The sequence below is a fragment of the Homo sapiens genome, chromosome 3 (assembly GCF_000001405.40).
Source record: "Homo sapiens chromosome 3, GRCh38.p14 Primary Assembly".
Taxonomy (NCBI): Eukaryota; Metazoa; Chordata; class Mammalia; order Primates; family Hominidae; genus Homo; species Homo sapiens.
In genome coordinates, this window is record NC_000003.12 from 192,726,657 (window position 1) to 192,751,113 (window position 24,457).

General features: G+C 39.3%; 1 protein-coding gene, 1 long non-coding RNA gene and 1 pseudogene across 4 annotated transcripts in view, besides 2 other annotated features; all 3 read right to left on the bottom strand.

Annotated features, from left to right (window-relative positions):
- The window catches only part of FGF12 (fibroblast growth factor 12), a 588,152-nt gene extending 587,267 nt beyond the window's left edge, over positions 1-885 (bottom strand). For 2 of the 3 annotated variants that reach the window (NM_001377292.1, NM_004113.6), the window contains exons 1-2: positions 828-885; positions 525-667 (exon numbers count right to left, since the gene is read on the bottom strand). In NM_001377292.1, coding sequence (NP_001364221.1) covers positions 525-537 — 13 coding nt within the window. In that variant the 5' untranslated portion in view covers positions 538-667; positions 828-885. The remainder of the gene's footprint in view (positions 1-524; positions 668-827) is intronic. The other variant, NM_001377293.1, reaches the window with a different exon arrangement.
- Positions 1,067-24,232, bottom strand: LOC107986056 (uncharacterized). Its single transcript, XR_001740579.2, has 3 exons — positions 18,491-24,232; positions 12,205-12,327; positions 1,067-1,898 (listed from the first exon to the last, which is right to left on the bottom strand). It is a non-coding gene; the product is annotated as an uncharacterized LOC107986056 (long non-coding RNA).
- Positions 2,899-3,060, bottom strand: RNU1-20P (RNA, U1 small nuclear 20, pseudogene; annotated as a pseudogene).
- Positions 17,734-18,324: an enhancer, noted in NCBI's record as "NANOG-H3K27ac-H3K4me1 hESC enhancer chr3:192462179-192462769 (GRCh37/hg19 assembly coordinates)". NCBI's record gives its function as "activates a minimal SCP1, AML or CMV promoter by ChIP-STARR-seq in naive H9 embryonic stem cells {active_cell/tissue: H9 hESC(naive)}" and the evidence as "EXISTENCE:reporter gene assay evidence [ECO:0000049][PMID:30033119]".
- Positions 20,407-20,957: an enhancer, noted in NCBI's record as "OCT4-NANOG hESC enhancer chr3:192464852-192465402 (GRCh37/hg19 assembly coordinates)". NCBI's record gives its function as "activates a minimal SCP1, AML or CMV promoter by ChIP-STARR-seq in naive and primed H9 embryonic stem cells {active_cell/tissue: H9 hESC(naive and primed)}" and the evidence as "EXISTENCE:reporter gene assay evidence [ECO:0000049][PMID:30033119]".
- Positions 24,233-24,457: the final 225 nt, after the last annotated feature.

The window sequence follows — 24,457 nt, forward strand, 5'->3', positions numbered from 1 at the left end:
AATAGACCCAATTTCTCTGCTGATATATATTCAAAATGCAGTAGGATGTGGTCATACACACCCAGAAATACCATCTTCATGAGGTGGGGGTGGTGAAATTCAAACATTTTTTTTTTAGCAATGCATTATTGGATATCAGGTACAAACGTGCCTGTCAGCAATTCTAAAGCAAATGAAATAGATTTATTTGAGTCCATCCATTATACAGAAAAGATATTGCTTTACTAACACATACCTCCTCCTCCTCCTCCATTTTGGGGGGACTCTCCCCACCTCCCCCCAAAAAACTCATCACAGTTCACTACGCAACTGATGGAGTATTAAACACTGTCTTCCAAGCTGTGGGAGTTAAAAAGAAGTCGCCTTCCTGCCACACTTCCCCAGTGCTGCAATGGACATAGCATCTCCTCCTCTATCGACCTAGTATGATGCTCGCTCCCCAAGCACTGCAGTCCCCTCGCCGAGGATTGCCTTGGCCACACGCACATGCAGCGGGAAGTCCCCCGATAGGGACAACCACATACCTTTGCTCTCCATTTCGGTCCCTTTCGAGTGCTGGGAAGTTCAATGGAAGTTGGCCGGAAGATGTGGGCCCGCTTCAGATTCCCAAATCTGGGAAGCCAATCTGATGATTTCGCCCGTACTTCCTTCCTTCCCCTCAGGCTTCCTGAAAGATGGGATTTCTTAAACCTTGAAGCTGCAATCAGCCACCAAAGGACACTTAGGAGCAGCAGCAGATTGCCTCTACAGGGGATACGTTGCGACGCGCATCTGATACTGAAATGCATGCACAGTGCCCGCTCAGATTTTTTTTTTTTTTTTTTTACCTGGGTCTGGAAGCTGCAGGCAGGAGCTGTCCTCCGAGCGTGGTGCTGCAGGTGTAGTGACAGATCATCCCACTTTGCTCTCTGGATGCACAGCAGATTTGCATGGGCGCTGGCACGCATGCGCAGGGCGTCCCCCCTCCCCTTTTCACCGCCTCCCGCTCCCCCGCCCCCTTCGCCTCCCTCCCCAATACGGTCCTCAGTTATCCCAGCTGAGGAGCTGTAGCATTCGGTCACAGGGAAGCGCTGCTAAAAATAAACGCCGGACCGGATTTTCCTCTGCAAACTAGAAAATGGATTGGACTAGTACTGCGTGCATCAGGACGAATTACTGAAGTCTTAGAGGAGGCTAGTGTCTCCAGGCAGGGTATGGTTTTATTCAGAAGGCAGGGAGGAGAGATTTACGAATCGTTTTTAATGTTCACAATTTGGGTTTCTCTTTCTACTTGCTGCAGTAACTTTCCAGCTGTCTGCTTCCCTCTCCTCTCCCCACTGACTTCACATTGCTTGTTATATTCCTGTATGTGTTTTGTTTTGTTTTTCGAGAGTGGGGTGAGAGTAGTTATGGAGCTGTCAAAGGTTAATATTCTCTCGCTTCTTTGTTACTCAAACTCAGTGTTTTCCTGCCTGCCTCCACCTCAAAACTGTTCCATGAGCAGGCTCCAAGGCTTCTAAAGTTCTTCAAAAAAGCCACTGAGGATATTTTGAGGTGCTCTTTTTAGCTTTTTTCCAACAACCTGCAAGAAGTCCCCAAAGGTGGGGAGGCGTCTTATTGATAATAAGTACTTCCAAAAGCAATACCTAATCATTTTTGTGAAGTTGCAGGGATAGAGTATTTTTCTTGTACAGAGCTCTAGAGGAAGATGCAAAACCACAAATCTCTTGAAGTGCTACTTTCATATCAAAATATTTCTAAAGCCCACACTGTATTTCGTTTATATGCAAAATGTTTAACAGGAAAAATTGTGTTGTATTTACTACCTTTTTTTTTCAATAGTCCAGATTTTCCTGAGGTGATCATCTCTCCTTGAGAATAATAATCTTATTCTCCAGAAGTCCAGAAAACTCTGTTATCTGAAATGGTTAAGGAAGGAGATGTGCAGATTAGTCACATACTCTACTTCATGAAAGATCCTTCCACAGTAGGCTTCTAGTCCCAATTTTCAAAACATTGAAATATAATAAAATGTACTCCCAACAAGAAACCTGGAGTTGTATCTAATTTAATCTTTTTCTGGTGATTCAGAGGGCATCCTTTGATTTTTCCAATGCCTGAGGGCCATGATTACAAATATTAACCACGGATGGTTCAGCCAGACATGGACATTATTAGTGGAGGACTCCCACTAATGAACTGCTGTGGGTCAGCAACGCCTGGATCCATTCAGCATTTAGGAGTATCGGATTGCAGAGGCCACAACCTAGGGCCTACTAATTTTTAGGTTCTCCAACTGTATGCCAAAGTACGTGTTTGGAAGAATCATAAAATTCAGGATTTCTTTTCAATGTTGAATAGGCTTAGGAAGTAAGCTTAGGGTGGGAGTAGTGTTGCTCCTTAAGAACAATAGTCTATTTCATTGAGATAAATAATTTCTGCTCTTAATACTGCACCCCGTTACATGTTCTTTCCTTCTCAAAGGTTTTAGAATAGGAGATATCTTTAGAATGCATCTCTATGTACTCTTCATATTTATTCTTTTACAGACGGAGAAACTAAAGGCAGGGGAGGAGTGGCACTTGAAAAGAGTCACATGGTGAACCAGATCTGGGCTCAGAACCTAAGTGTCATACCTCAAAGGCAGAGGCAAGCCATCTATAGTCCAGAATGATTTTTCATATAACTGCCTTCCCATTATCTACAGTGAATAAGAACAGGGAGAACCTTCTAGTTCATAAATTATCATTATTTTTATTCATAATTTTAAGAACCCAGCTGCTTTATTAAATAGAAAGCAAATCAAATTTAATGCAAAATTTGTGTTCTGACATTCAAGATCTTTCCATTCTTCTCCAAGCTTAACTCCTAGACAACAATTGCTATTATCCTAAACAAACCTCAAGATTGTTTTTAAACCAGGGGAAAGTGGGATCACAGACCCCCACTACCACAAATTATGCAGTCTAGTTTCCCACGTATGGGGAAATTGCAGGGGTCAGCACATCTGGAATGCAATTGATAAGCCTTGACTGGGAAAACAACCTTCTTGCTCATGATAGCTCCTCTGTCAAGATTTTTCTTACCTTTGCTTACATAGTCATTGCTGGAATATCTTGACCTCATCAAACCACTACCTACCACAAGTATCTACAAATTCAAATCTTATATTTTCCTCTAGATCCATCTCCTTCTTACAGTCTTCCCTGATACTCTTAGTCTGAAAATATTCTCTACCAAGAACACTGATGATCCGCTCACTAATGATTCCAAAACTGATGAGTTACTTCTCTTCCATCACTATTTTTTATTCTGTACCAGAATGATTTATGTATATATCTTGTTCCTTTTTCCCACTCATATTTTTAAATGGCCTCCTTTTACTTCAGTGTAGTCTAGAGTGTCCTGAACATAGGAAACAATAAAAATGTTTCATGAATTAATAACATTTAGCATACATGTTTTTGTGTACTTTACTATGTGACATTAACTACAATCACCATGATAACAAAATGATGATAATATTGACCTAACATTGCTCAGAGCTTACTATGTGCCAGGTACTATAAGGATTCTAAATGTTTAATGAATATTATCTTTATTCATTAAATAAGCTATATGAACATGCAAACGGCCAATAAATATATGAAAAAAAGTTCAACATCACTAATCATCAGAGAAATGCATATTAAAACCACAAAGAGATATCATTTCATCCCAGTTAGGATGGCTATTATCAAAAGACAAAGAAAATAAAGCACATGCTAGTGAGGAAGCAGACAGAAGGGAATTCTTATGCACTGTTGGTGGGAATGTAAACTAGTACAGTCACTATGGAGAACAGTATTGAGTTTTCTAAAAAAAAAAAAAAAAAAAAACTAGAATTACCATATGATCCAGCAATCCCACTACTGGGAATTTATCCAAAAGAAAGGGAATCAGTATATCAAAGAGATATCTGCACCCATATGTTTATTGCAGCACTATTACAATAGTCAAAATATGGAATCAACTTAGGTGTCCAACAACAAATGAATGCATAAAGAAAGTGGGGTACATATACACAATAAAATATTATTCAGCCATAAAAAAGAATGGAATCCTGTCATTTGCAGCAACATAGATGAAACTGAAGGACATTATGCTTGATGAAATAAGCCTAAGAAACAGAAAGTTAAACACCACATGTTCTCACTCATACGTGTAAGATAAAAGAAAAAGTTGATTTCATAGAAGTAAAAAGTAGAACAAAGGATAGGAGGAGCTGGGAAGGGTAGGGGGAAGGAGGGAGAGATTTGTAAAAGGATACAATATTACAGCTAGGTGGGAGGAATAAGTTCTAGTGTTCTATACGACTGTAATATGGTTATAGTTAATAATAATATTTTACATACTTTAAAATCAGCAGAAGGAGGATATTGAAGTTTCCCAACACAAAGAAATGATCAATATTTGAGATGATGAATATAATAATTACCCTGATCTGATCACTTACATTATATGTATTGAAATGTCACTGTTTACCCCATGAATGTGTACAATTATTATTTGTCAATTTAAGAAATAAAATAAAATATTATGAGGTTAGTACTATTATGATCTCTGTTTTAAAGATAAGCAACCTGGAGCACAGAGAGGTTAAAGTATGAATAAAACATGATCTCTGCCGTACAGAAGCATAAAGTCTATTGAAGATGATAGAAACATAAATGATTTTAAAAGCTATCGTAAGGTATAAGATAGGTTGTCACAGGTGGAGTAGGAGGTGCAGAAGAGTTGGCAGTCAGCCAGCCTGAGGGTTTTAAGAAAGTTTCCTGGAGGAGACATATATAGAGCTAGTTCTTGAAGTGTGAGCTTCACAGGGTTGGGGTATGAGTGTGGGGCAGGGACCATGTGAGTGTGCAAAAGTACTTTTGGACATAAGAAGTTATTATCATTTTCCAGGTTTCTCTGCCAGATGTGAATCTCCAATGTCAAAGAGGAAAGTGGACGGAGGCAGAGAAATGCTTAGTACTGTTCCGGGATCAGAGCTACAAAACTCCAGAGTATCTGGGAGAGATCATATCTCTTTATCTCACCTAAGTTTTCTATCATACATTTGAATAGAGAGACAGTAGAGCATAGTGAAAAAAATAGATTCTGGAACCAGACAGACGTGGGCTCAAATACAATTTGCTTCTTATTATTTATGGTACCATCTTGGGCAATTAATCCATTTGGGTCCTATTTTTTTAATCTGGAAAAGTAAGTAATATCTTCTTGTAGGCAGAGCTGTTGTAAGGACTGACCATAATACTTATAAAAGTGTCTAAAATACTGGTCACTCAATAAATTGTACTCACTATTATATATAGGGTCTTGGATCCATCCAGGCTAAGGATTAGAGCTGGAATCCCTGAAGGTTCCCTCCTTTTTAATAAGAAAAGGGTCTAATCCCCCCATCCCAAAATGGAAGAGGATTTAAAGGAAGAATTGCTTCATAAAAGTGTTGATGAAACATAATTTGATCTAGTTATGATGAACTCACTTAATGATAATCCTGGAATAGGGGAAATAGACTAGTAGCCTGGCAATTTGCTATTTCAAAGTGCCAAGAATTAGGTGAGACCGGGTTTCTTGTATTTGGGGTGAATGTGCATTCTGGTTTTCCCAAAATGTTCCCGTTTTATACTCATTGTCACAACATACTTTTAAAGAATGCCCCCTTTGCCCATCAAAAACAGTTCTGGCTTAATAAATTATATGACCATATACCTTTAGTTCCTACTAGAATGTACAGAAATAATATAAATGATTGAAATTAATTAACAGCAATACATTACATTATAACTATTTTAAAAGCCTTGTTAAAATGCCAAACCAATTACCAGCCTGCATACAATTTTTCCATATACTCATGCTGTTTGTCCAGAAGTGCTGAATGTAAATTGAGAGAAATGTGTGACCATTTATTTGTGCCCAATTATTTTCTTACTGTTCATTTTTTATAACTAATATCTTTTATAACATATTTTATATTTACAAAAAAAGAGAAGTTGGTCTATTAGACTTTTTGGTGATGACATTGAGGTCAACTCACCTCTAGAAGTGAGTACTCACTCTAAGATGAAACAAATGGTCAGCTCAGTTTCCACTGAGAGTGTCAGTTCAAACTGTCACCAGAATGTAAGCTCTACAAGAACAAGGACCTTGTCCATTTTTGTCACTGTTGTTTTTCCAGCTTCTAGAAGAGCATGTCATCCTTAGAAAGTCTTATTTAATATCCAATGAATAAATGAATGAGTTTAATGAGAAAAAGCTTTTTTTTGGTGGCCATAAAGCCAATTCACTTGGCAACTGAGAAGCATCAATCAGCAATCCTTGACGGCATAAACTAGGTCATAAGTGACCTGTAAGAAGCAACAGGATCACCATGAGGCAGGAAGTCAGTTAACAAGTGTGCTCCGTGCTTACTCTTGGGCAAAGACCATAAATAATCAGGCCTACATTCAGTTTTCTCTGCACTTGAGTTCAGGTATTCCTCTTAAGCAAGCTAATAGGTGGGCTATGCCTTTGCAAACAAGCTAGGAGGCTGGAAGAAATTAGTCATAGAAGATGAAAGAATAGGAAGATTAAAATTTCAAAGCACAAGAAGAAGATGGGTTGACGTGGCAAAACTACGTGAAAGTGACCATGCTGTAGAAGTTAGACAGCGTCCCTCAGAAAGCAAACATGTCTTGATTGCTTACTATGTGCAAGGTTCTCATTCTCTTCCTTGAGTGAGGGTGAAAGAATGATCTTCCTAAAAAGGCAGTGACACATGATAAAGCTTCAATAAAAATGGTTCAGGTTGCAGGGAAGGAATGAAGGTAAGGAACAGTCTGAGAAGACAGGAAAGGGCAGAAGATGCAGCTCATCTGGGTATATTTTTCCATGGAGTTACCCATTTACATGGTCTAACAGTGATCTCTCTAGGGGCTATTAAGTATCTAAAGAGACTTGCAGAGTCGTGTAACAGAGTAATGATGCATGGGTAAGGCATCTGGAAGCCAACTCACAAACGTTTTTTACATTTCTTGTTAAGGACTTTCTCCACTTGACGATATTAGAAATTTATACACAAGCTATCAACTGACAATTTCAAGGCCCATCTGTTACACTGGCATAATGCCCACTTAAAATGTGGTATGCCAATTTCATTAATGTTTAGGTTGTGAGTCAAAACCTTAATCAGTCAAAATAGGATACTAGAAAATAAAACTTTTCAGTTGATTGTCCCTTTTCATTCTAGGAATAAGAAATAACCTGGCAATCCAATACGCAAAAGTAACTTCTTGAATCTGCTCAGGATCATTATGAAGACCAACCCAATCCTTGAGCCCTGGTGCTAAGAATAGACCAAATGTACATCAAGGTTTGGTCCAAAAAGGCATCATAAAAAATGCTGCATCTAAAGAATGTGGACATTTGACATTTTCTCATCCTATACATCTCCCACCCTCCCCTCAAAATTCCAAATACACAGATGCTCGATATTTTTGTAATAATAGCATACGAGTATTCAGTCATAAAGAAATTAACTAAAGTCCATCATTTGTTCATTTACTGAGAACCTACTGTGTGCAAGACACTAGTGTAGGTGCTGGGATACACCATAAATCTGTGGACTCATAATATTTACATTATAGTTTCACCGTTGGAATGAACTTCATAAATCTTGTAGCCCAAATACTTATTAAACAAAAGTAAGAAAAAAGACCCATTAGGAGCGGGGAGGAGGACAACTTTTCTCAAGTCAAATAGCAAGTTATAAACAAGACTAGAAGTAGTCTGCTGATGCCTATCTCATTATGGCACCCTCTATGCAAATTTGTATACATTCTTAGGTTGGAGGACTAGGACTAGTCCTATGTGTGTTGTACTGCAAAGCATTGTTTCAGAAGTTTATTTATTTCACTTAGTAAATACATCCAGAAGTTCTTGTTGAAGGGCTGGAAAACGATAACTATACTAAATGTGTTGCTGCCAATAAGAAACCTCCACAATGTGTTCTACACGACACCTGATAGATGTGATACAAGTGTATTGTTCGTGTGATGAATAATAACAAAGCTCTATTTTATTAGTAGTGCTCTTACTTGATGAAAAATCTTCATGGTTTATGTTTATATTCAAATCTCAATTCACATAGCGGCTATGGCTACCCAGGGAAAGTGAAATGCAGAAATGAAACAATTAGCTATGTTATTGGTTCCAAAAACCCTGCTTTTTAAAAGGGAGGAAAAGAGTAATGAGTAATTTAAGCCAACTAAAATTAAATAACAGCAAAAGAATGCAATAGCATAATGGACCCCACATGTGTATTGACACAAGGGTATTATCAGCAGGGACTTGGAGGTCATAACCAATTGCTGATAGTAGATAGTACTGATACTCTGCAGCTTAAAAAAAATGACAAATGGATTTGTCTATCTGATAGCTTTTTTAAAAAAGTGTTTCCACAACTTTTTACATTTTTTTTTCTCTAACCATTTGCCCTAGCAAGGTGACCATGGGACTGTAAAGGAAGCAAAGAGTTATAGTTAGAGGTGGAACCAAGACTGCTGTTCTGCCCAGAGGGTTCTCTTGCATACTGAGCTCTAGGCCTAGGGTTGTGATAATATGATGCTGATGCTGCCAGCCCCTTTCAGTCACTTAAAATCTGTCTCAATTTAAAGTATCAGATGAAAATGTTTTTCATCTGATCTTAAATTTAGGTTTATTTACCATGACTGACAAACTTCTTATTTAGTCTATCCAATCGCTTCTAAATTTATTCATTAAACATTTTCCCCTTCTTTCTGAAGAATCACAAGCTATTAATAATTAAAAAGTAGTAGCTGTTATAAAAAGGATGCTGGAAAGATTGAGATGTATCCTTGGTTTCTTATTCTGTGAAAGAAGGGACTTTGACAAAACAGTCTATAAGGCCCTTTCCAGACCTAATACTGGAAGCATCTGTGTTGGGCCAGCAGTGCTTCTAGGCTATCCCATGGAATGCTGTATTCCTTTTGGAATCAAAGTCAGTCAGACCTGAAAGGAACACTAGAGTTCCTCTAGCCCAACTCCTTTAGTTTATAGATGAGACACCTGAGCCCTAGAGAGGGGAAGACTTTTGAATCTGAACTTGGAACTGCTAGAATCCAAAGTCAATACTTTTAGCCATTATCTTATATTGTCACTTTAATACCTTTACTACACTTTACTTCCACATGTTGATGAAGTGCAAAGTATTTAAGTAAAAAATAGAAAATAGGTTGAAGTAAAACAATAGTATTCTACTAGGCCCCACTAATACCACTCAACTACTGAATGAAGAAATACAAACCCCATCAAAATGATCTCCACCTACCCGCCTCATTGCCCCCTCTCCCTTATATCTTTTTACTTGTTTATCTCATTTTTATTGCCTTCATCATGCCAACAAGCCAAGTTGGCAGATGATTCAGGCTGTGATACAGAGGAAGGGATAAATACAATCTCACAGAGCTACAAGATTGGCTATAACCTTGGGGCTCACTTTTTTTTCTGGCTTAGGAAACTCTTATTTATCCTTCAAAACCCAGTTAAAGTGTTTCACAAGAAGCCTTCTCTTAATCTTCATAGCATTTTCAGTATTTTTTATTTATGTCTGCCATTTATTTATATATCTGTCTCTCTATAAAGGCAGTGCTATAGACTGAATGTTTGTGTTCCCCCAAAATTCATACATTGAAACCTGATTCCCAACATAATAGTGTTTGGATGTGGAGACTCTGAGCAATTATTAGGTCATGAGGGAAAAACACTTATGAGTAGAATTAAAGCCATTATAAAAGAGATCCCAGAGAGCTTCTTGCCTCTTCTGCCATGTGAAATTACAGCCACAGACTGCTTTCTATGAACGCAGAAGTGGGCACTGACTAGACACCAAATCTACCAGCAGCCTTGATTTTGGACTTCCCAATCTTCAGAACTATGATAAATAGATTTCTGTTGTTTATAAGTCATCAAGTTTGTGGTATTCTGTTACAGAATCCTGAATAGGCTAAGACAGGTGGAGTATTCCCATCACATAGCATTGTGCCCAGCATATAGCAGGCATAGAGTAATTATATTCTGAATTCATTAATGAAGCAGTCAATGAGTAATTAAATGAATGAAGTTTGAAAATGTTCCAGAACTTTTCAATTTAGTTGATTCACTCTTCATTATACCCCAGGAGCAAATAAAAATGAACTTTGAATAGCCGTGCTTGTTCTGCATTGGGTAGTATTATCAACACTGTCGGTGTTTCCCATCAACCTGCTTCATTCTTGCTCTTTTCTCCCCAAATCTCCAAGTTGGAGAAAAAAAAGTTCTCCACTTCTGGCTTCTTAGACTTTGGCCTTTTTTAGTCTTACTTTCTTCTCCCTCTGGTCTTGGCTTTCCCATCTCCTGAAACACCCACCACCACCACAAGCAGCGCACACACCTTCCCACCACCACCACAAGCAGCGCACACACAATCCTCATTAATAATCTCCTTGCTTGGCTCCACAGACCTCCATGAGCTGAGCTAGTATCCTGACTTGGTCAAGGAAAGAAGGAGTGCTTTAGAAAAAGAAATGCATGAATGATAAATATTCTATTGATTTTTATTTTCCAGTTTCAAGCTCTGAATGTAGCTGAATGTTACTGTTTGATCCTTTTACCCACTTCCTTTGGTTTCCTCCCAATTATTTCTTCTTTTAAGCAGGGAACTTAAAATACTCCAATTCTTGGTTTTCTCCCTGAACAGAGGGCACTCCCCCCTTAAGTGAGATGTTAGCTTCCATGGCTAAATATAGCAATCATCTATCAAAAATTTTCCCAGAATATGAAGAGACACTCTACCTTTCTAATAATGGATGTGGTTTTTCTCACTGAACATAAGTATGTTCAAGAAACACATTTAAAAAGATGATGTATTCTTGCAGAATACATTACTGTGCATTTGTAAACTCTATTTTCACATTGATGCACATGCCAAATCACTTGCTATTATTACATTCAGCACTATTTGCTCTGGATGATAGTGCCAAAAGACTAATGTCTTGTAAGTACAGAAAGCAGACACTTTTGGGCAGCACAGATGGAGGTGGGAGAATTGCCAACAGAAATGGTGCCTTTTCTCTACTTGGATTATTTTTGTTGTTGTTTTTTAGTTGTTTTAAAGCATGGAGATCATGCAGCAAGTATTACTTAGGCCCTGAATAGAGAACCACTGGAATCTGAATGCAACTAAGCTGGAAGGAATGAGAGAGAGAAAAAAAGAAAGAAACAGGATAGTTCATCCATCTCAATGATAAACTGAAAATCAGAATCAAGAAATCAACACTGAGAAAATGAAATAAGCTTATGAAATTGACTGAAATAACTTTGTGGATTATATATTGAATAAGACTAAAATGTCACCATTTTATTGTTATAATGATGATAAAACAGTAAACTGCCAAGAGAAGAGAATGGCTTGTCTTTGTGTGGCATCAAAGAATTTATCAAAAAGGCAGCATGATAATTTAGGAAATCAAACTTCTTTCTTAAGCTGAAGGTAGCTCCTAAAATCCATTATAAGGTATACAACTAGTTTACATTTATGTTCATTTATATTATGAATTCCAAAGATTGAATTTAACAAACCAAACATCCTAAATTTTGCCTATCATTATGCCTGGTACTTTATATCTACTGTATTATTAAATCCCCATAACAATACTGAAAAGGAACTGAGGCTCCAAGGTCTATTATTTGCCCAAAATATGCAGCAAGTGAGGAATAGAGTCAAAAATGCAACCGAACACTTACAGAATTTAAATTCTTGACCTTTGTACGTGCCTCAAGGACATATACTTGGTAGGTGAGCCATCTTCCACCACTGGTGTTTATATAAACTTGTGCTACAGGAACCCAAAGACGGAGAGAGAGTGCATTACTTTCCCAGCCAGGGAAGGGGCAGGGAACATTGAAAAGCCTTTTCCACGAAGTAGAGAAAGCCATTCCTGACAGAGGTTTCAGCATTAAAAGGCTCAGTGAAGACAGTGTAGGGTGATTTGGGGAAAAGTAAATAGTTTAGTGTTCCTGCAATGGAAGAAGATGAGAAGAAAAGGTTGGCTAGATGTGGATTGACGAGGAAGCCTTAACACTCCTGGGATTTCAGTTGAACACAGAGTTTACCATATCTGAAGTTCTGACTGTTTTCATGCTTACCTGTCATGTCAGATTTAGCTCCTTGCCTGCAAAGCCTGAATCTTGCATGAGTTTTCCACCAGATCTTCCCTTCCCAGTGCAGCTCCTTTAAGGGTTCAGCCTTGGCTTCCCAAGCTGTTGAGACTGCAAAATAAATATGGACCACATGCAAATTTAGATCTCCATCCTTTGACTCCACTCACTAAGCAATTTGCTCCTAGATTGTCTCTCTTTACTTAGCCACCAGGTTTGTGTCTGACTTGTGTTAACGATCTCACTTCCCTAGTCAGCATGATACCAGATTCAACTTCCAGCTGTGCTTTTTATCTCTCTTCCTTAATTCCACGAGTTCTTTATTTCTTTTTTTTTCTTTCTTTTTTTTTTTTATTATACTTTAAGTTTTAGGGTACATGTGCACATTGTGCAGGTTAGTTACATATGTATACATGTGCCATGCTGGTGCGCTGCACCCACTAACTCGTCATCTAGCCTTAGGTATATCTCCCAATGCTATCCCTCCCCGCTCCCCCCACCCCACCACAGTCCCCAGAGTGTGATATTCCCCTTCATGTGTCCATGTGATCTCATTGTTCAATTCCCACCTATGAGTGAGAATATGCGGTGTTTGGTTTTTTGTTCTTGCGATAGTTTACTGAGAATGATGATTTCCAATTTCATCCATGTCCCTACAAAGGACATGAACTCATCATTTTTTATGGCTGCATAGTATTCCATGGTGTATATGTGCCACATTTTCTTAATCCAGTCTATCATTGTTGGACATTTGGGTTGGTTCCAAGTCTTTGCTATTGTGAATAATGCCGCAATAAACATACGTGTGCATGTGTCTTTATAGCAGCATGATTTATAGTCCTTTGGGTATATACCCAGTAATGGGATGGCTGGGTCAAATGGTATTTCTAGTTCTAGATCCCTGAGGAATCGCCACACTGACTTCCACAATGGTTGAACCAGTTTACAGTCCCACCAACAGTGTAAAAGTGTTCCTATTTCTCCACATCCTCTCCAGCACCTGTTGTTTCCTGACTTTTTAATGATTGCCATTCTAACTGGTATGAGATGATATCTCATAGTGGTTTTGATTTGCATTTCTCTGATGGCCAGTGATGATGAGCATTTTTTCATGTGTTTTTTGGCTGCATAAATGTCTTCTTTTGAGAAGTGTCTGTTCATGTCCTTCGCCCACTTTTTGATGGGGTTGTTTGTTTTTTTCTTGTAAATTTGTTTGAGTTCATTGTAGATTCTGGATATTAGCCCTTTGTCAGATGAGTAGGTTGCGAAAATTTTCTCCCATTTTGTAGGTTGCCTGTTCACTCTGACGGTAGTTTCTTTTGCTGTGCAGAAGCTCTTTAGTTTAATTAGATCCCATTTGTCAATTTTGGCTTTTGTTGCCATTGCTTTTGGTGTTTTGGACATGAAGTCCTTGCCCATGCCTATGTCCTGAATGGTAATGCCTAGGTTTTCTTCTAGGGTTTTTATGGTTTTAGGTCTAACGTTTAAATCTTTAATCCATCTTGAATTGATTTTTGTATAAGGTGTAAGGAAGGGATCCAGTTTCAGCTTTCTACATATGGCTAGCCAGTTTTCCCAGCACCATTTATTAAATAGGGAATCCTTTCCCCATTGCTTGTTTTTCTCAGGTTTGTCAAAGATCAGATAGTTGTAGGTATGCGGCGTTATTTCTGAGGGCTCTGTTCTGTTCCATTGATCTATATCTCTGTTTTGGTACCAGTACCATGTTGTTTTGGTTACTGTAGCCTTGTAGTATAGTTTGAAGTCAGGTAGTGTGATGCCTCCAGCTTTGTTCTTTTGGCTTAGGATTGACTTGGCAATGCAGGCTCTTTTTTGGTTCCATATGAACTTTAAAGTAGTTTTTTCCAATTCTGTGAAGAAAGTCATTGGTAGCTTGATGGGGATGGTATTGAATCTGTAAATTACCTTGGGCAGTATGGCCATTTTCACGATATTGATTCTTCCTACCCATGAGCATGGAATGTTCTTCCATTTGTTTGTATCCTCTTTTATTTCCTTGAGCAGTGGTTTGTAGTTCTCCTTGAAGAGGTCCTTCACATCCCTTGTAAGTTGGATTCCTAGGTATTTTATTCTCTTTGAAGCAATTGTGAATGGGAGTTCACTCATGATTTGGCTCTCTGTTTGTCTGTTGTTGGTGTATAAGAATGCTTGTGATTTTTGTACATTGATTTTGTATCCTGAGACTTTGCTGAAGTTGCTTATCAGCTTAAGGAGATTTTGGGCTGAGACGATGGGGTTTTCTAGATAAACAATCATGTCGTCTGCAAACAAGGACAATTTGACTTCCTCTTTTCCTAATTGAATACCCTTTATTTCCTTCTCCTGCCTGATTGCCCTGGCCAGAACTTCCAACACTATGTTGAATAGGAGTGGTGAGAGAGGGCATCCCTGTCTTGTGCCAGTTTTCAAAGGGAATGCTTCCAGTTTTTGCCCATTCAGTATGATATTGGCTGTGGGTTTGTCATAGATAGCTCTTATTATTTTGAAATACGTCCCATCAATACCTAATTTGTTGAGAGTTTTTAGCATGAAGGTTGTTGAATTTTGTCAAAGGCTTTTTCTGCATCTATTGAGATAATCATGTGGTTTTTGTCTTTGGCTCTGTTTATATGCTGGATTACATTTATTGATTTGCGTATATTGAACCAGCCTTGCATCCCAGGGATGAAGCCCACTTAATCATGGTGGATAAGCTTTTTGATGTGCTGCTGGATTCGGTTTGCCAGTATTTTATTGAGGATTTTTGCATCAATGTTCATCAAGGATATTGGTCTAAAATTCTCTTTTTTGGTTGTGTCTCTGCCCAGCTTTGGTATCAGAATGATGCTGGCCTCATAAAATGAGTTAGGGAGGATTCCCTCTTTTTCTATTGATTGGAATAGTTTCAGAAGGAATGGTACCAGTTCCTCCTTGTACCTCTGGTAGAATTCGGCTGTGAATCCATCTGGTCCTGGACTCTTTTTGGTTGGTAAACTATTGATTATTGCCCCAATTTCAGATCCTGTTATTGGTCTATTCAGAGATACAACTTCTTCCTGGTTTAGTCTTGGGAGAGTGTATGTGTCGAGGAATGTATCCATTTCTTCTAGATTTTCTAGTTTATTTGCATAGAGGTGTTTGTAGTATTCTCTGATGGTAGTTTGTATTTCTGTGGGATCGGTGGTGATATCCCCTTTATCATTTTTTATTGTGTCTATTTGATTCTTCTCTCTTTTTTTCTTTATTAGTCTTGCTAGCGGTCTATCAATTTTGTTGATCCTTTCAAAAAACCAGCTCCTGGATTCATTGATTTTTTGAATGGTTTTTTGTGTCTCTATTTCCTTCAGTTCTGCTCTGATTTTAGTTATTTCTTGCCTTCTGCTAGCTTTTGAATGTGTTTGCTCTTGCTTTTCTAGTTCTTTTAATTGTGATGTTAGGGTATCAATTTTGGATCTTTCCTGCTTTCTCTTGTGGGCATTTAGTGCTATAAATTTCCCTCTACACACTGCTTTGAATGCGTCCCAGAGATTCTGGTATGTTGTGTCTTTGTTCTCGTTGGTTTCAAAGAACATCTTTATTTCTGCCTTCATTTCATTATGTACCCAGTAGTCATTCAGGAGCAGGTTGTTCAGTTTCCATGTAGTTGGGCGGCTTTGAGTGAGATTCTTAATCCTGAGTTCTAGTTTGATTGCACTGTGGTCTGAGAGATAGTTTGTTATAATTTCTGTTCTTTTACATTTGCTGAGGAGAGCTTTACTTCCAACTATGTGGTCAATTTTGGAATAGGTGTGGTGTGGTGCTGAAAAAAATGTATATTCTTTTGATTTGGGGTGGAGAGTTCTGTAGATGTCTATTAGTTCTGCTTGGTACAGAGCTGAGTTCAATTCCTGGGTATCCTTGTTGACTTTCTGTCTCGTTGATCTGTCTAATGTTGACAGTGGGGTGTTAAAGTCTCCCATTATTAATGTGTGGGAGTCTAAGTCTCTTTGTAGGTCACTCAGGACTTGCTTTATGAATCTGGGTGCTCCTGTATTGGGTGCATATATATTTAGGATAGTTAGCTCCTCTTGTTGAATTGATCCCTTTACCATTATGTAATGGCCTTCTTTGTCTCTTTTGATCTTTGTTGGTTTAAAGTCTGTTTTATCAGAGACTAGGATTGCAACCCCTGCCTTTTTTTGTTTTCCATTTGCTTGGTAGATCTTCCTCCATCCTTTTATTTTGAGCCTATGTGTGTCTCTGGACGTGAGATAGGTTTCCTGAATACAGCACACTGATGGGTCTTGACTCTTTATCCAACTTGCCAGTCTGTGTCTTTTAATTGAAGCATTTAGTCCATTTACATTTAAAGTTAATATTGTTATGTGTGAATTTGATCCTGTCATTATGATGTTAGCTGGTGATTTTGCTCGTTAGTTGATGCAGTTTCTTCCTAGTCTCGATGGTCTTTACATTTTGGCATGATTTTGCAGCGGCTGGTACCGGTTGTTCCTTTCCATGTTTAGCGCTTCCTTCAGGAGCTCTTTTAGGGCAGGCCTGGTGGTGACAAAATCTCTCAGCATTTGCTTGTCTGTAAAGTATTTTATTTCTCCTTCACTTATGAAGCTTAGTTTGGCTGGATATGAAATTCTGGGTTGAAAATTCTTTTCTTTAAGAATGTTGAATATTGGCCCCCACTCTCTTCTGGCTTGTAGGGTTTCTGCCGAGAGATCCGCTGTTAGTCTAATGGGCTTCCCTTTGAGGGTAACCCGACCTTTCTCTCTGGCTGCCCTTAACATTTTTTCCTTCATTTCAACTTTGGTGAATCTGACAATTATGTGTCTTGGAGTTGCTCTTCTCGAGGAGTATCTTTGTGGCGTTCTCTGTATTTCCTGAATCTGAACGTTGGCCTGCCTTGCTAGATTGGGGAAGTTCTCCTGGATAATATCCTGCAGAGTGTTTTCCAACTTGGTTCCATTCTCCCCATCACTTTCAGGTACACCAATCAGACGTAGATTTGGTCTTTTCACATAGCCCCATATTTCTTGGAGGCTTTGCTCATTTCTTTTTATTCTTTTTTCTCTAACCTTCCCTTCTCGCTTCATTTCATTCATTTCATCTTCCATTGCTGATACCCTTTCTTCCAGTTGATCACATCAGCTCCTGAGGCTTCTGCATTCTTCATGTAGTTCTCGAGCCTTGGTTTTCAGCTCCATCAGCTCCTTTAAGCACTTCTCTGTATTGGTTATTCTAGTTATACATTCTTCTAAATTTTTTTCAAAGTTTTCAACTTCTTTGCCTTTGGTTTGAATGTCCTCCTGTAGCTCAGAGTAATTTGATCGTCTGAAGCCTTCTTCTCTCAGCTCGTCAAAGTCATTCTCCATCCAGCTTTGTTCCGTTGCTGGTGAGGAACTGCGTTCCTTTGGAGGAGGAGAGGCGCTCTGCGTTTTAAGAGTTTCCAGTTTTTCTGTTCTGTTTTTTCCCCATCTTTGTGGTTTCATCTACTTTTGGTCTTTGATGATGGTGATGTACAGATGGGTTTTCGGTGTGGATGTCCTTTCTGTTTGTTAGTTTTCCTTCTAACAGACAGCACCCTCAGCTGCAGGTCTGTTGGAATACCCTGCCGTGTGAGGTGTCAGTGTGCCCCTGCTGGGGGGTGCCTCCCAGTTAGGCTGCTCGGGGGTCAGGGGTCAGGGACCCACTTGAGGAGGCAGTCTGCCCGTTCTCAGATCTCCAGCTGTGTGCTGGGAGAACCACTGCTCTCTTCAAAGCTGTCAGACAGGGACATTTAAGTCTGCAGAGGTTACTGCTGTCTTTTTGTTTGTCTGTGCCCTGCCCCCAGAGGTGGAGCCTACAGAGGCAGGCAGGCCTCCTTGAGCTGTGGTGGGCTCCACCCAGTTCGAGCTTCCCGGCTGCTTTGTTTACCTAAACAAGCCCCGGCAATGGCGGGCGCCCCTCCCCCAGCCTCGCTGCCGCCTTGCAGTTTGATCTCAGACTGCTGTGCTAGCAATCAGCGAGACTCCGTGGGCGTAGGACCCTCCGAGCCAGGTGTGGGATATAGTCTCGTGCTGCGCCGTTTTTTAAGCCAGTCTGAAAAGCGCAATATTCGGGTGGGAGTGACCCGATTTTCCAGGTGCGTCCGTCACCCCTTTCTTTGACTCGGAAAGGGAACTCCCTGACCCCTTGCGCTTCCCAGGTGAGGCAATGCCTCGCCCTGCTTCGGCTCGCGCCCGGTGCACGCACCCACTGGCCTGCGCCCACTGTCTGGCACTCCCTAGTGAGATGAACCCGGTACCTCAGATGGAAATGCAGAAATCACCCGTCTTCTGCGTCGCTCACGCTGGGAGCTGTAGACCAGAGCTGTTCCTATTCGGCCATCTTGGCTCCTCCCAATTCCACGAGTTCTTAAAGAACCTTCAGGATAACAGCCCTTCCAGCTCTACCTCTCCTGGCGCCTCTGCTCCCACAGAAATCCTGTTGGCTCACCTCTTCCAACTGCTCTGCCCTGGAGGTAAGGTCAAGAGAGAGCTTGGCACAAAGCCTGGTAAGTGATATGTACAGTTTATTAACCACTTACTCCATATACTGTGCCCTTTGTCTATACAGTTGAACCTTGGTGTCTATAGGGTATTGGCTGCAGGGCCTCCTTTGGATACCAAAATCCACAGATGCTCAACTCCTTGATATAAAATGGTATAGTATTTGCATTTAACCTATGTACACTTATTTTATTATCTCTAGATTACTTATAATACCTAACACAATGTAAATAGTTGTCTTACTGCATTGTTTAGAGAATAATAAGACAAAAATTCAATGTTCACTGCATGTGAACATTGCAAATGCAATCTTTTTTTAAATATTTTTTATCCATAGTTGGTTGAATCTATGGATGTAGAACCGATAGATACGGAGGGCTGACAGTATTATTGTCAAGTTTGCAAATGATTATTCCTAAGTTCACAAGGTTAAACAAATCAAGTAAACAGAGCTTTAAAAAAAATGGTTGAATTTAACATGTGGATGGATTCAGTAATCATTGGTGGATTGAATTTCAACACTTCTCTCTCATTGCAATTTTGGATTTAAGGTTTTATTTTATTTTCCTGTTTAGCTTTTCATACGTTACTACTACACTAAACATGAAAAATAGTTTTAATTTGAATGCTCATAAAATTGTGCCAAGAAATAAAAAATCTACTGAACGTCTATGCTCAAGAGAACTAAAGTAGGATAAATACTACCTAGTAAACCCTTATTATCTCGATAATATGCTAAGATTTGGGTCAGTTTATCAAAGCACTGGGGTGAATATTTAAATGAACAGTTGTAAAATTTTATATCACAAAAGGACATCAACATTTCCATAATCCTTTAGCTCTTGACATTGTTAATTGATCTCAGTTAAGTCAGCAGATCTGGTTAATACTTGTTTACATTTGAGAAATTGTATAGTGCATATTAGAAATGACTATTTGGTAAAAAGCTAGGCACTCAGCAATGCTAATTTTATCAATCTTTGAAATCTAAAAATGAGCTTAACTTGTATTTTCAATTCAGTCAACAAAAGGTAGTTATTATTAGCAGCAATGGTATTGCCAGCTGAGCCTAAAAGAGACTTCACCACTGCAGCCCCAGATCCCACCTTTCCCATTCTTATCCTCTCTCCTACCTCCTACCAAGATCCTCCCATGGTTCCCCCAGATATAGCAAGTTGTGTTGCGCCTCTGCGTTCGTCCATGCTGCTCTCCCTATTTGGAAAAACAGTGTGCCCCTTTCTCTTTCTACTTCACTCAAACTTTAGTGCAAATGTCAGCTCCTCTAGGAAGCTTTTTCATATCCTCCAGTATGATTTGATGCGCTCAACCTGGGCTCTCATAGAACCTTGAGCATTTCTTGAGCATGATGACTTAAATTGCTGGAGAACCTTTGCCCCCCACCCTTTTAGGCTTCAAGCTTTGTAAGAGAAGCATCCATAATTGTATGAGAAGTGTGCCACACCTCGCATTCAATAAATACAGTAGTTCCTCCCTTATCCATGGTTTCAGTTTCCAGGGTTTTAGTTACCCACAGTCAACCAGGGTCCAAAAATATTAAATGCAAAATTCCAGAAATAAACAATTCATAAGTTTTAAATTGCACCCAGCTCTGAGTAGTGTGTTGAAATCTCCTACTGTCCCACTCCATCCTGCCCAGAACATGAATCTTCCCTTTGGCCAGCATATCCATGCTGTATACACTACCTGCTTGTTAGTCACTTGGTAGTCATCTCTGTTTTCAAATCAAAAAGACATGGCATATATAGCATTGAGGACTATCTGCAGTGTCAGGCACCCACTAGGGGTCTTGGATCATATCCTTCACAGATAAAGGGGAATTACTGTATTAGTTGGAGGCAGGAAAGGGTGAGAATTTGTCTTGAAGGAAAATCAAGGCTCAGAACAGGTATGTGGCTTGCCCTGCATCACAAAGCTGGTAAATGGCAGAGTCCCTGGAGAATCCATTCCTCTTGCATTCCAGGGCCAGGTCCTATCCACTATTCTACACTTCTCTCACTGTTGTCAGTTGGGGGCTCTGGGTATTTTTAAAAGAGTAATGTCATAAATACACACATACACACACACACACACACACACCTACACACACACGTATATATTTGATGAATATCTTAAAGAATTTTAAATAGAATTCACACTTAAACCTAGAAGTGAGTTTATACTTTGATGAACACTTACTTAGATAACTACGTAAATACACTAATTCCCAAATCACTAAGAATATTATAACAATCAAGTGAAGAACAAGAAGTAACTACTTCCAAAAACAGGATGGCTTCTTATATTTAAATCAGGGAGAAAGGTGAGCCTGTGATCCAAAGGAATATAATCAAAATGAAGATAGGAGAGTTTTTTTTTTCTCATCCAAGCCAATATATTATTTATCAAAATAAAATGAATGATTCAGTATGGTTACTACTTTTCTAGGGCCACTTTGCCAAAAGCAAGACAATTATCAATGACATACACACAAAATCCCAAGTGTTTGGAAAAATCACGGTGGTAGGTCATTCTGAGCCTTTATTCATCACGAATTACAATGGCACTTGTTATCTGAGGAGAGGCTGGCTTTCCAGTTGCTCAGAGAAATCTATTACATATAAGAGACTGGGTGAATTGTGAGATAACTGTAGACCAGCGAGTGAGGTTGTACATGGTCAATCATTTAAATGCCTCCAAATAGCACTCTCAAAGTTTCACAGTATTGCCTTCACAGAGTTAAGCTGGCTGCCAAAGTGACCCACAGAAACTCTTTATCCAGTTCTTGCCTGCTGTACTCTCCAATCTGCCCTCACAGGACGATGCTTGGTGCCCAGGGTCAGTTTCCATTTCCCTGCCTCTAGGACATTGCTCACCTCTGGAATGCACCCATTCTCAAACCATCTTTGTTTTTTGTTTTTGTTTTTGTTTTTCTTCAAAATTTTTCATAGTCAGCTACAAAAGTATCTCAAATACCACATTATAGAAAAAAAAACAAAAAAACACTTTCTGGTTTCATCAAATCCTTTTTACTCTTTGAAGAGTGTGATTTGGGGAAAAAAAAAAACTCTATCAAGGACTATTTGTTGAATGAGTGGTCCCTTCTAATTATTTATATTCTTAATCACCCCACAGTGAGCTTTTGGAGGAAGGTGGCCCTGTCATCTCTGGGTCTTTCTCAAAAGTGAGAAAAAGTGATAATCCTTCAGCAAATGTGTCAAATGACTGTCAACAATCCTGCCATTCAAGATGATGCAAATTATCTATGTGATTTTCCTGTTCTAGATAAAACTGCTAGGGATATTCCAAAGCTGTGGAGGCCTACTCGGAACCCTTTGGTAGAAAATGTCTGAGAGGCTACATGGCTGGAAATGGGAAACATGCCTAATGCTCCCTGTAGCATCTTGGGCTGGCTCACCATATCCCTGCTGACTCCTAGTTCTCTGAGTCAACCGCACATGAAAGTGGAGCTTTGATCCCAGCATCTTAAAAATCCTCCAATTGGAAAAGAATCTGTTCTCTCTAGATGATAAAAGTGAAATTGCACCTCTGTGAAATGCGTTTGCAGCCAGGTGCAGGGCTCTGCAGGAGTCAGCTCTGGGACAGACTCAAATCTCTCTCAATCAATAGCTACATTTAAACTTTCCATTCCAAAGTGTCTGAAACTGAGCTGACCAAAGCAGCCCAGAAACCTAACCCCTGCAACTTGGGTCACACAATGTGTCTTTCAGCCACTGACATCATTTCTCATTATGGGCAAATAAGGAAAAGGCCCAGTTTTCTGTGGATGAAGATATGTGACTCTTACCAAAGAGTCACCTCTTACTAAAGTTGCCCAGCTTCAGCTCATGAAACAATTATCCTTAGCACAATGTAGGCCATACCCACCTTAAGCTCTGGACTGTAGCCCTGCCCCTGACTTTGTCTGCACGTAACTGTGGATCTGCAGTTTTCCATAAGGTAAGTAGATCATTAGCAATATTAATGACCCACCCACTGTCTAAAATGCTGCCTGACACATAGTAGGCATGCAGTAAATATTTGTCAGACAATCTACGGAATGGAAATTAATTAAAATTTGATGGATTTAGCTATTAACAGCTCTTGATCTCAGAGGAAAGGCACTCTGTAAATAAGGATCCAGCGCCATTAGCATTGATTGGCTGTTATTCAACTCCATATTGGGAGTTTTATAAACTTGTAAATACAGTCTGTACACTTAGAGGCCCAGAGGAGCTGTAGAGACTGCATTTACATCCCGTGGAAATGACTTTTTAAATAATAATAATGGTAATGATAATAATAACCCTTTTTATGTGTGGGGTTCTTTTTAGTTTGCAACACACTTTCACATCCATTATCACCTTAACTCTTCCCAACCCCGTGAAGACATCGTTACCTACTGGTTAAAAAAAAAATGGACTCAGAAAAGTGGCATGACTTGTCTAAAGTCACACAGCTAGTAAGAAATAGAACAGTATCTCAAATTTCACTTTTCCCACACCAAAAAACAACAACAACAACAACAAAACCCAGGTAGCATTTTTTTCTACTACATGGCATCTACCTTTGAATGGATTTATTTTTAAAGAAGGAGAATTCAGCCAAGATCATTTAGTTTTTGATTAGACAAGTCTCTATAATAACTTCACAAAAAATATCTTACTTCTAAATGAATTCTTATTAAACTTGCTTCAGGATGAGTATGATGTTACTCTAAAATCAGAGTCTGTGTTAGAAAGGACCTCAAATATCATCCATTCTTTGTTTGTTCAGATATTTATTAAATTTGTACTTCATGAGGTCCACACTCCTGGAGAAGAAACAGGACACAGAGATGTGTCTGTCATCGAGAATTCGTGAGATAAGGACATGGAACAGGTAACAAATGACTATAATATGAGGCAGAAATTGTTAAGCATCATCCACAAGTCAAACAGGTGACTGGCAGGTGAGGAAGAAACACTAGCTTCCAGCAGAGGAATTCAAAGAATGCTTCAGGGAGTTTGTGCTGGCCTAAGAAAAAAAGGAGAATTGGAATAGTGAAGATAAATAAGAGAAGAGAGAGTTACGGAAGCAAAAGCAGCGTGAGATTGCCTCGTGGGTAATAGAGGAACTGGGTTCTTAGAGTATAGAGAGGAGTGGTGTTGGGCAAGGTCAGAGGCAGAAGGCAGAGGCCCTTGAATGCCAGGTTCATTTACAGATGGGGAAAGTGGGGCCCAGGGAGGGAAGTGACTCCCTCTTTTGTCTTTCTTTCATATACATTTTAAAAATTGCATCTGCCAGTATCTTCTCAGCCATTAAGGAAAACTAGTGTCTTGACTAACAGAAGCTAAAACATGATCTGGCTATTTTCTGTCCAAGTACAATACTGTTAAATGTAAAAAAAAAAAAAGCTATTCACTTAGGTCCACACTAGGGTCACAAGTGTGTTTTCTCGGGGAACGCCATTAAGCAAGCCATCTCTGAAACTAGTGAGGTAGTGAGCCGGAGTAGAAATATCACGGGGGGTAGGGGGGCGGGTAGTTAAGAAGTCAGGAGACATGGTCTGTCCCTTTTGTAATTGGACAATAGTTTGCTCTGTAATGTTGGTCAGGTAGTGTCCCTTTTCTCTTAACTTTTTTGGAAGAGAATAATACATCTCAGTATTATTCTTGCTCAGCATTTACTATATAATACTTCCAGGGTTATATTTGCTTAGCATATATTAACAAATTTGTTGTGAC